Below are 12,357 nucleotides of genomic sequence, written 5' to 3'. Positions count from 1 at the left end.
CGCCTGCCTCGGCCTCCCAAAGTACTGGGATTACAGGCGTGAGCCACCGCGCCTAGCCAGTTTTTCATTTTTTGAGACAAAGTATCGCTTTGTTGCCCAGGCTGGAGTGCAGTGGCGCAATCTTGGCTCACTGCAACCTTCGCCTCCCGGGTTCAAGGAGTTCTGTGCCTCAGCCTCCCAAGTAGCTGGGATTACAGGCGCCTGCCGCCACGCCTGACTAATTTTTGTATTTTTTGTAGAGACAGGGTTTCATCATCTTGGCCCGGCTGATGTTGAACTCCTGACCTCATGATCCACCTGCCTCGGCCTGCCAAAGTGCTGGGATTACAGGCATGAGCCACCACGCCTGGCCAGGTTTTGTAATATTTAAACTTTGTTCTGTAACTATAATGAGTCTACTGAGCAGTATTTGTGACCGATTTCCAAACTTGAGATTTCAGTAAATTGTATTTACAGTAAACAGTATTTACAAAAATATGTAAAGCACTGAATACATACCTTGTATTTATTTTTTTAATTTTTTTTTAGATGGAGTCTCGCTCTGTTGCCAGGCTGGAGTGCAGTGGCCCAATCTCGGCTCACTGCAACCTCCGCCTCCCGGGTTCAAGCGATTCTCCTGGCTCAGCCTCCCGAGTAGCTGGGACTACAGGTGCGCGCCACTATGCCCAGCTAGTTTTTGTATTTTTAGTAGAGATGGGGTTTCACCACGTTGGCCAGGATGGTCTCGACCTCTTGACCTCATGATCCACCCACCTTGGCTTCCCAAAGTGCCGGGATTACAGGTGTGAGCCACCACGCCCAGCCGTATTTTTGTTCTGTAGATGGTATTCATTGTAGAATCAAGTTGTATGATTGAATATGTAAGAAAAGACATAACTTTATGTCACTAGATATGTGTAGCTAGGAAGGTAATGTTTCAAGTGTCAGTACCAAAGCTTTTCTCTTTTCCCCCATAATTGCTCAAAATCATTCTCTTTTTTACTTTGTTCCCATTTGGAGCATATTTCTAATTTCTGTATTTTTCCAGGAGCTTCTGATTGCCTTTATTTTTCCTTTTTTGACAAATCAAGAATATGTGTTTATCTTATCAATAGATTCTTTTTCATCGTCTGTTAAAATAAATCCACTCTCTTTTTGAAAACACTCCAGCCCCTTGCTTCTTCTGGTCTGGTTGCCTCTGGCCCATTGCACTGCCATTGCCCTGGGGTTCCTCCTTACTCCACTTCTGAGTTAGGGCTGCTTTTTGAGTCTAATATCTTTGTCTTTCTTGGATTCTTTTCCCTTCATCTTATTAGAGTATATTTTCAGATAATTTTTTTTGAGAAAGTATCTTTGGGGGTGGTAAACTTTTAAATATACATTAGGAAATGTTTTACCTTCATACTTGATTGATAGTTTGAATTTCAAATTTAAAATTATTTTCCTTGTTCTGCTCAGCACCCATGGCCCCCATTCAATATGGAGACTCGTGTTTTTCTTTTTCTTTCTCTTTTTTTTTTTTTTTTTTTTTTGAGATGGAGTTTCATTCTTGTTGCCCAGGCTTGAGTGCAATGGCATGATCTTGGCTCATCCTCTGCCTCCTGGGTTCAAGTGATCCTTCTGCCTCAGCCTCTCAAGTAGCTGGGACTACAGGCATGTGCCACCACGCCTGGCTAATTGTTGTATATTTAGTAGAGATGGGGTTTTACCATGTTGGTCAGGCTGGCCTCGAACTCCTGACCTCAGATGATCTACCCGCCTCCACCTCCCTAAGTGCTGGGTTTACAGGTGTGAGCCAAGTATATCTTCTTTGATTATTTATTTTCCTTTGTGCCTTTTTGGAACTCTTGTTAATCAGATAATAAAAATCACAGATTGATCTTCTCTATTTCTTAACATTTTTTTCATTTTTCCTATTTTTGCCTTTTCCCCTACTCCACGGCTTTCTCCTAAGTTGTTTTAATTTTGCTAATCACAATTTTAGTTTCCATTGATTATTTCATAATTCCCTGATTGCTTCCTCCCCATAGCAGTCTATTGTTATTTTAGAAATGCAGTTATCTTCTTGAGTGTGTCTGAGAAAACTAATTAGAATTTCAAAAAATTATCTGTCCTGTTTGTCCATTTTTTCTCCCCTTCTTATTTTTTTCCCCATCCTTCTATTTTGTATTTTGACTTTTCAAAATGTTTGATGATCCTTTGTTATCTGTACATATTTGTGAATGAAGATGTCTTAGCTAATGGGGATTTCCTCTGCCTTTTATGGTTGCTTTGGGATTTCAAGGGAGGAGTGGATTCTGCCTGACCTGCACCCTTATTCTCTGAGTGTTGTGATCTGCTGCTGTTTTGTCAGTAAAATACTGTCCCATCCACTCTTTGTCTTACAGAAATTAGGTCTCTATTCTCTTATTCTCAGTACTCTAATGGATTTTCTTTTTTTGTGCTTCTTTACCATCATATAAATGGGATTTGAGGAAGGAAGATAAATATGCATGCACAGTCTCACATTGAGTGTTAACTGATGTTTATTACTGCTTATTCAACTCTCGATCTTCTATATTCTGCTGTAAAGAGAGCAAAAAGGATACTTAACTTTCTCATATAGTAGTTGGATGCCAAAAGCCCCAGGCCTGCCCAGGTCTAGGTTTCACATTTCCTTTCTTTGCCCATTTCAGGCCTCAAAACAATTTTGTAACTTTTCAGAATGTGAGAGTTAACTTTCTTCCTTAGACTGGTTTGATGTGCTCTATCTACTTAATTTCTGTGTTTCCTTTTTTATTAGTGATAACCTGACTTACTGTTCCTGTATCTTTCTGCCAGTCATATTTATAAGCTACTTTTATGGCTTACAATTATATAATAATAACAAAAGTATTAAAAAGTCTTATAAAGAATAAGAAAAGTATTCTTTTCTTTTTAGTTTGGAGAATAGGGAGGAACAGAAAAGGAAGGGAAAAAAAGAGAGCTGGCCAGGTGCAGTGCCTCACACCTGTAATCCCAGCACTTTGGGAGGTCCAGGTGGGTGGATCAGTTGAGCTCAGGAGTTTGAGACCAGCCTGAGCAACATGGTGAAACCCTGTCTCCACAAAAAATACGAAAAATCAGCCGGACATGGTGGTTTGCACCTGTGGTCCCAGCTACTCTGGAGGCTGAGGCAGGAGGACTGCCTGAGCCTAAGAGGCAGTGATTGCAGATTGAGGCAGTGGTTGCAGATTGCACCACTGCACTCCAGCCTGGGCAACAGAGGGAGACCCTGTCTCAAAAAAAAAAAAAAAAAAAAAAAAAAAAGGAAAAAAGAGAGCGAAGGGCTAACTTCTGAGTGTGGATAAGTTCCTGAGATTGTTGACATTTCTATGATGAGCAAAGCTCATTTACCTTCTCCTGCCTGATGGATGATTCAACTGAATATGGTTTCTTTCACCAGGATCTGCCCCCACCCCATAATTGTGAATATTTTAATATTCATTTGAACAGATGGATTTTAGGAAATGGGATGGGGATGGTAGAGGCATGTTCTCTGCCTCAGAGAACTCAGTTCATGGACCGGTTAGGGATACCACATTTAGGGCACATGAAACAATTAGTGACCCACTCATGACAGTACATCATTATTAAGGTATATATTAACTCTAAATGTAGTAAGGGTTCGGCAGAAGTTAGGAAAAGTTAGGGCTTGCGTTGGGCTTTAAATGGGTAGAATTTGGGAGGAGAGAGAAGCCTGACAATCCAAGGAGTGGAGAAGCTTGTGGGAGCCAAGATACAGAGGTAAAATAAAGCATACTCTAGGAAAAGCATGTGAAATGACCGAAGACTACTAAAATGGATAGGTGGGGATCAAGCCTGGAATTCTCTGGATAGACAGCTTGTCTCCACAGTGACCTTTTAATGAGTTTTCACACCTACCAGAGTGGGTGTACCAGGAAGGGATAAAAGGAGCAGGTAAGTGCTGGGTCCCAAACTAAAAGTCAGGCTTCATGATGCAACACTGTCTGACCCACTATATCACTCTGGTCCCCCCCCCTTTTTTTTTCTTTTTAATATTTAAAGAAATTGGAGAAGGCTGAGAGAGAAAGGAGGAATTGTTAAGAGGAGTTGCTAAATATAGTCTTGGAAAATATAATTGCCATAATTTCCCATTTAGGTGATTGCCCACAGTGAGTATCAAAAGTCCAAAAGAATTTCCATCTTTCTGAGCATGCAAGATGAAATTGAGACAGAAGAGATCATCAAGGACATTTTCCAACGAGGCAAAATCTGCTTCATCCCTCGGTACCGGTTCCAGAGCAATCACATGGATATGGTGAGAATAGAATCACCAGAGGAAATTTCTTTACTTCCCAAAACATCCTGGAATATCCCTCAGCCTGGTGAGGGTGATGTTCGGGAGGAGGCCTTGTCCACAGGTGAGTATTATGGTGTTAGGATGTTGTTAGATTATGACCAGTTGTTAGATCTCAGATCCACGGGTTATGTGTGGGTCAGTGGGAGTTGCTTTTCCTGTAAGGGATTAATTTGTATTTTGCCTACGTTCCAAGACACCTGTATTACCTGGTTTAGGATGTGATGCCTTTTGAAAACTGTAAAGTGTAAATGAATAATATTGTTGACTTCTCACATATTGTTGCCCTACCTTGTGGGTTGAATTATATATTTTTCCTGAATAATTATTTCCTGTGGTTTCAGTTATGGTCTGCTTGCTAATGAGCATATTATTATTAATGTTAATGAGCACTTATATCTTCTCAACTTCGACTACCTACCATGTGTTTATCTCAGTACATGGCACCACCAGCTACCCAGCTGGCCATGCCAGAAATCTCCAGGTCATCCTTGACTCCCCTCTTTCTCTTATGCCCCACCTGTGGTCTATTGTTAAGTCCTAATGATTTTACCTACTGAATATTTACTGAATCTGTCCATTTCTCTCCAACCCACTGCTACTACTGCAGTCTAAGCTGACATCTCCTCTTGCCTGCATTCCTGGAAAGGCCTTTTAACTGTTCTTTCTCTCCATGTCTTGCATCCTCTCCTTCCTCTTTATTGGTTATTTAAAAGTAATTGAAACAAGATTTTGAAAACACAAATCTGCCACTTCTCTCCCCTCCTTAAAATCTTTCTGTGACTTACTATTGCCCTTAGATTGAAGTAAACCCTCCTTAACGAGGTTCTTCCTAATCTTGGCCCTGCTATCTTTCTATTTTCACATCTTTCTACTCCCCACTTCATAGTCTGAGTTCCAGCCACTCTGAGTATCTCTGTTTCCCAACTCCACTTTGCCTTCTCTACTGCTGGGTCTTAATACATGCTGTTCTCTGGCCAACAGCTGCTTGGGAAGTTTTATCATTATGAAACAGGTAAAGAGATGAAAGCAAAACAAGCTAAGGGTATTATTTTTTAGTATAATGCCTGAAACCCATCTTAGAGGTGTATATTTTTGACTAAGACTTAAGTGGTTGCAAAGAAGCCCTAGCACAACTTTATGCAGTCTTCGCTCAGTTTCTGCCCCTTCCAATATAACACCATAGCCTATAAAGTCAGTATGATGGAGTCAGAGGGGAGAGGGTCAAGGACTCGTAACAGTAGAGGGATTATGTACTTTGCTAGTTTAACTTTCCCTGTATTGTCCAATCTTGGGCTTTGCTAGATGTTAGGCACCAAAAATACATTCAGATCTACCTCCTTCATGTCCTGCATCAATAGGCCAGATGAATGTCAGCATTTTAAAACTCTTTCATATTTTCAAGGGGAAAGATTGCAAGCATTTTAAGGCAATGAGATAATAAGGGAATACAGAGTATCTTGGAGAGCAGCCTAGGTTTATCGAGAAGAAAAGACAGGAAATTATAGCTACTGACTTTGCTCAAACTTAATGCAGCTACTCCAGACTCGCAGGCTTAATGGTGGAACCCAGGATACTGTCCCAATTCCAGTTGACTCTGTTAACAGCTCCTTCAATGCTTGTATCATCTCTATAATGTGCCTGCTAATTGGAATTTTACTTGGTTTCCTCCAGTAACTAATTCCTCTAGAGGCAGCTCATTCCTTTTAGAACAGCTGTGCTCCTTCTAGAACATCTTCTTTGGGTTGAGCTAAAGTGTGTTACTTTGAACTTTTGTGCATTTGTTCTGGTTCTATTCAAGTACAGTGGTGAAAAGAGTAAGGAAGAAGCATTATTTTTCCTTTTAACTTATATTTACACTTCTTGGTTAGGATAATCTCAATCCAAATAAGTGAGTCAATCATTTATGCAGGTTTTTTTTTCTTTTCTTTTGAGACAGAGTTTCACTCTGTCACCCGGGCTGGAGTGCAATGGCGCTATCTCGGCTCACTGCAACTTCCACCGCCTGGGTTCAAGTGATTCTCCTGCCTCAGTAGCTAGAATTACAGGCGTGCGCCACCGTGGCTGGCTAATTTTGTATTTTTAATAGAGATGGGGTTTCACCATGTTGATCAGGCTGATCTCGAACTCCTGACCTCAGATGATCCACCTGCCCTGGCCTCCCAAAGTGCTGGGATTACAGGCCACCGTGCCCGGCCTATGTATGGTTTTTAGCATGTCATTTGTCACATAGGAGCTATCGAATAAATGGTAATTTATTAATTTTAAGCAAGGAAGTCAGAATTATTCATTATAAGATAAACTCATTACTAGCCAAGTAGTTAACATTTCGGTAATTTTCAGCAGATATTTTCACCCATCTACTTTGTGTCAGACACTATTTTAGGTCTGGAAAGATAAGGCCCTGATTTGAAGGGACTCACACTATAGCTGATGAGACAGAAAATGAACATAAACAGAATATCCTAACCTGTATTATATGTCAAATATAAGTGTCAAATGAAAAGATACTGAATATTAAAAACATAGAAATTTAGAATATGGTTCTGAATAGAAAAACGTCCACCAAAAAAACCCCACAACTGGTTGCTCATTTTTTTTTTCTCCTCTATAGTATTTATTTATGCTATATTTGTAGTACCAGTGGCTTTTTTCCCCCATGCATTTTTCTTTGCAGATACTTGCAATCTGGATTGTAAAGGGATAGAGGATTATACCCACAGTTTCTCGAAACTTCAGTCTGGGGTCAAAGCTCGCTGTTGTTGTTTATAGAAATGTTTGAGTAGGCAGCCTCAGCTGTTTGTTATCTCCTAACATCACACTCTGTACTGTGGATTTTTACTTGCATCAGCAACTTAAAATGTGACAACTTCAGTGCTTAAGCATACATCTAGCTTTACAGTGTTTGGGACAAGCTGATCAGAGCTCAGGCTGTCGTTGGTGTAGCTTTTGTTGTCTGTTTATCTTTCTTGTTTGCTCACATTATCAGAGCTTAGAAAAGAGTGAGCTTTTGTGTCCTCAGTTGCAATTATAAGTTCCTAAGCAAAAATTTCCCATGGGCTATTCTTGTATTATATATGTAGCAAAAGAAATAGATTGCTAAATGAAATCGAGGGTCGGATTCTTTCCCAAGTTTATCCTCAAGGTAAGGGCTGCTTGGGCAATTAGATTAGAGCAGGAATTTTTCCAATGCAAGTATATAGTCTGATTCAACCGGGCTTAAGCAAAAATGAGATTTTATTGGCCCAGAGACTGAAAAGTTCACAGAAGGGCTGGCTGGATCAGTGGCATTAGGAGCCAGTCTATCTCTGCCTTTTGGCTTTGCTTCCATCTATATCAGTTTCATTTACTGGTGCCACATGGTGGCCCATAGCAGCTCTAGGTTCCATGGCATCCTTACTGCTAGCAATAAAGAACAAGTTTGTTTTCTAACAGTCCGATAAAGTCCTGGACCTAACTCTTCTTGACCCAAATGGGCATCTTGAAATTAATCACTATGGCCAGAGATATGGAATCGGCTGACTGGCTTAGGCCTGGGTCTTACGTGCCTGTCCCTGACCCATTCTTTGTGACCAGGAAGAAAAGAAGTGCGGATTGACTTAGACTAGGTCATATGCCCAGCTCGGCAGCCCTACCCAAACCACTGAGCTGAGAGTAGGGTGAGAGTGTTTGTTGTGTTTCCAGAACAAGGGGGAATGGATACTGGAGAGTCAAAACTAAACTCACCAATGCTGTCAATCATTTCTGAAATTCTGCAGAATATAATAGGCTCTTTGCAGTCATAGCTTTGTCAGTGCTGATTTTTAACTTATGATCTTCTTGGAGGCTTTTTGGGAATTAATATCTATGTGTAGTTACCTGAGCCATAACTTAATGATCACAACGAAGACTTTCTAGTCCTCAAATAAAACATTTTAAAGTAATTGAGTGGGGCATCATCAAGGACAGAGTCTTTGAACAACCCTTCTAGGTTGTTCATGATCAGTACTTTTGGGAGGGTTATGATTGGTTCACTGTGAGTAGCTCACATTGACTTCATTTCTTTCTTTGTTAGGGTTGCATGGCGTCTGCAAGAATATAATAAAAGATAGTGGGTATGGATTTCATCAAGGCATATTTGATGGAGTCATGATATCCTCAGGAGGCTGGAGAAATTTGGATTGGCTCATAATACTTTATTCAGAAAAGATGTGTAGATCACTGCTCTGTGGAAGGTGTGATGGGAGTATAGCAGGGAACAGCATGGACCTGGTTCCCAGTGTTTTGGAGTTAACTAGCCTATTGTCCTCACAGAAGCAGGTTTGTGCTGGCATGTCACAGGGCTCTCTCCTTTGAGCTGTCCTGTTCAACTTTTTATTGAACTTTTAGCTTTTTTCACCTTTTGTTGAACATTTAGATGTCTCACTGTTCCTTATTTTCAGCATGTCTAAATTCATTCTTATCATTCTTTTTTGTTTTTCATATTTCTGTTAGCAGCCACTTTGTAGACATGGAATTATCCTTGCCTCCTTCCCACCATCTACTTATTACCAGGTTTTTCTTTGTAATGTTTTTATCACCTGTCTTTCTCTAATTCCAGTTTTGGGGGAATTCTTAGTCTACAATTTTCATTCTTCATATCTGTTCCATTGGAATAAACTTTAAATTGGTTTCCTGGCCATATTAATTTTCCCAAAGTACCTTTCTGTACAGGTCATCTACCCTATTCAAGCCTTCTCTGTACGCTGAATAGATCTGTGTACCTGGGCAAACAATGGTTCCTGCTGGTTGTTGTCAAAAGAAGGGACATTGGATGAAATCCAAACATTCAGGCCACTTTCTGGGTCTGACCTCCCTCTCTATCTTAATACTTGTGCCTCCTTGGTACAGCTCCTTATTTCAGCCAAAGTGGTCTGCTGGAAGACAGTATTTCCTAGTAATGGAAAATACGGATTTGAGAATCATACTAACCTGGATTTGAATTCTAGTTTTGCTCCTTTCTAATTGTGTTACCTTGGGAAGATCACTTAACTTCTTAGAGTTTCAGTCTTCTTACCTGTAAGTGGACTCAGACCTACCTTACATATCTGTTATGGAGTTTAAATGAGAAAATGTCTGACTAGTGTTTGGCACATAGTAGGTGCTCAGTAAAAATGCCATTGTTGCTGCTGTGGCTGCTGTTGTTTTTGCTGATGTTGAGTGGTCAAGCATAGGGTAATGTTATGTGCTTTGCTGTGAAAGTGATTTTGTTTATACCATTTTCCAGTCTAGAATATATTATGTGTTTCTTCAGGATAGTCTCTTCTAGTCTGGTGCTTAAGATCACTGGCTTTGGAGTCAGACTGATCTGAGTTTGAATCTGGCCTTTACCACTTGGGCAGAATTACTTAACATCTCAAAGTCCAAATTTCCCCATCTGAAAATTGGAGATAATTACAGTACTGACTAATTGTGTTGTTGAGAGGATAAAGTAAGGTAGTAAGGTGATATATGTAAAGTGCCTAGTACAGTTCGCCTTGTAGTCAGAGATCAATACATGGCAGTTATTAACAGTAAGCAGAAATTATTTCCCCCAAACCTTCCATGGCTGCCTACAATGTACTAGTCCTTTTCTTCCGTAATTCTTATGTACTTGGCACTTTACGTATATTAGCACGTTTTATTAATTCTTTTTGGAAGTATATCCCTTTTCTTTGCTGATAGACTCTTTCGGAGCAGAAACCTTCTTCTAAATCATTTGTATCCCTGGTACCTAGTCATATGGTTTATGTTGTAGACTTTCAGTAAAAGTTTCTTGAGGTGAAGCTAACAGTTTTGAATTCAAAGCGTGCCTGTATAAATGAATAGATTATCAACACTTTATAGCTATGAAAGAAAATCTGGATTTAAAAAACTGTGTGCATGTACACAGGGACACATTAAAAAGTATACTAGAGTCAGTTGTTTTATAAGGCGCTGTAACTTGTTGTTTTTAGAGACAAGGTCTCACTCTCTCACCCAGACTGGAGTGCAGGGGTGTAATCATAGCTAACTGTAACCTTGAACTTCTGGGCTCAAGTGATCCTCCAACTTCAGCCTCCTGAGTAGCCAGGACTACAGGTACACACTACCATGCCTGACTAATTTTTAAATTTTTTGTAGAGACACGTCTACTCTGTTGCCCAGGCTGATCTTGAACTCCTGGCCTCAAGCAATCCTCCTGGCTTGGCCTCCCAGAGTGCTGGGATTATAGGCGTGAGCCACTGCACCCAACCAACATTTTTTATATTTGTGAGTAAAGAGTTAACATCGGTCCCGGACTAAGCTGGGCCTGCCTGGGGGAATAACCTTGAAACTTATCTTCTCTCAGCACTAGTTTTGGGGAAGCCATAGAGTTGTGATAATGTGGGATGTACCTGTACCTGCCTGTTACTGTGTGCTACTACACCTGAATTGGGAGCTGTGAGTTGGCATGGAAGCCTTGGGTCTGTGGAACTAGATCTGTATAAAAGATGGGCAGGAAATGGGAGTTGCAGCTTCTCTGTGTGAAGGTGACCTATGTGCCCCTTGGCTCTTGCTGCACCCTGTGTGAGTGAGGAGGCAAAAGAAGCAGTGTACTGAGGTAGCTGCTGGGCCCTGGATGAGGTAAAGATGCTGAACCTGCCATATCTCCTCTTCTGTGTTCTTCTGTAAGGCTAAGTACATGGAGTAATACTTAGATTGGTTCCTGAGCCCGAGTGCTGTAACAGCTGCTGGGTCAATGTGGTATTCTCAATCCAGTCTCTGGGTTTGTTTTTTATTTTTTGTTGGGGGCAGGCAGTGCAGCTTAAATAACAGACATTTATTTTCTGACAGTCTGGGTATTTTTAATAATATTCTGTGGAGACTCTAACACCACTGGTCCCACCAGTGACTGTCAGCATGTCTATGAGAATGCTTAATTTTTACTAAGCCAAGAAATAAGTAGTTATAAGATCCTACATGGTATGATATTTTAATATGAGTTACAGCTTATCTTCTCATTGAAAGTGTTTCCAAACCTTTAACACGTGTTTCTTTAGCTTAACAAAAATCGTTCTCACTAATTGTATTTGAACTTTTGAAATAAGTTATGACTAAAAGTAAATGAAAGCAATTGTAATTTTGGAATGTGCTTTTGCACATCGCACATGCCATTGTAGGCATTTTGGGTGACCTCCCTCTCTGGACAATTGAGAACATTGCCTCCTGAGTTAGGCACTGTGGGAGGGAGAGTGAACCCTTACTGTCCTTGCTTCATCTTCTTTGTTTTCAGATAGGATAACTGCAACCCAGGGAGGCTGTCACTTCCCCAAGGACACACAGGCAGTTAATGATAATGCGAGGTCACCCAGTTCTGGTTTCCACTCCAGTGCCCTTTGAAGTGCCATTTTTCTTCACACTTCATTCATTAATATTGCTTTACTACCTAGATTTTCTCTCTCTTGACAGCATACTGCATTAAAACCGTTATTCATGGAACAGGTACCCTTGGTAACTGTATGCATGGGAACATTGTCATATTTTCCCAAGGAAGAACTTGGACTGAGTCACATGTATCTAAAAGTACTCTGGTCTCAAAGTTAAGCTTTTTTTTTTTTTTCAGTCATTTTGTATTCGGCTAAATACACAGGAAGAACCAGCTACAGCTTTGATTTATAACAGGGCCTTTCATTTGAATGAGAAGTGCACCCATGATAGGCTTCCTTGGACCTGTTCCAGAATTGTCTATTTTATCTTTTGCAGCGGCTTTAGAATATATCCTCATTTCAGAGAATGGTAATTTACTTCTTGTTAACTCCCAGCCCATTAAGATTAAAAGACAGTTCCTTAGGGGTTATGCCCTGTTATTCTTGCCAAGATGGGCTAGCCTGCTAAATGTTCTACTCAAGCATAATGATTCATTGAATGTACTATTGAACACTTAACTGTCTTTAAAAGGACTAACCCAGGTGACTTAAACCTCGCTACATATAGAACTTCAGGTGTTTAAACTGCTTTTCCAATTCAATTTTTATTTTATCACCTTAATTGAGACATTAAAATGTCTATTAGGTTTCTAT

General features: G+C 40.3%; 2 protein-coding genes across 4 annotated transcripts in view; both read left to right on the top strand.

The window, feature by feature from the left end:
- ST20-MTHFS (ST20-MTHFS readthrough) overlaps positions 1-12,357 on the top strand; it is a 79,546-nt gene that overhangs the window by 29,618 nt on the left and 37,571 nt on the right. Inside the window, exon 3 of the mRNA NM_001199760.2 lies at positions 4,121-4,382. Within this exon, the coding sequence (NP_001186689.1) occupies positions 4,121-4,382 (262 nt within the window). The remainder of the gene's footprint in view (positions 1-4,120; positions 4,383-12,357) is intronic.
- MTHFS (methenyltetrahydrofolate synthetase) overlaps positions 1-12,357 on the top strand; it is a 53,739-nt gene that overhangs the window by 3,811 nt on the left and 37,571 nt on the right. For all 3 annotated transcript variants that reach the window (NR_037654.2, NM_001199758.1, NM_006441.4), the window contains exon 2: positions 4,121-4,382. Coding sequence is in view for 2 of the 3 variants with exons in the window: in NM_006441.4 (NP_006432.1) it covers positions 4,121-4,382 (262 nt within the window). In the remaining variant the exon portion in view is untranslated. The remainder of the gene's footprint in view (positions 1-4,120; positions 4,383-12,357) is intronic.

The sequence above is a fragment of the Homo sapiens genome, chromosome 15 (assembly GCF_000001405.40).
Source record: "Homo sapiens chromosome 15, GRCh38.p14 Primary Assembly".
Taxonomy (NCBI): domain Eukaryota; kingdom Metazoa; phylum Chordata; class Mammalia; order Primates; family Hominidae; genus Homo; species Homo sapiens.
Note: the sequence above shows the minus strand (reverse complement) of the source record. Positions and strands in the feature narration are given on the sequence as shown.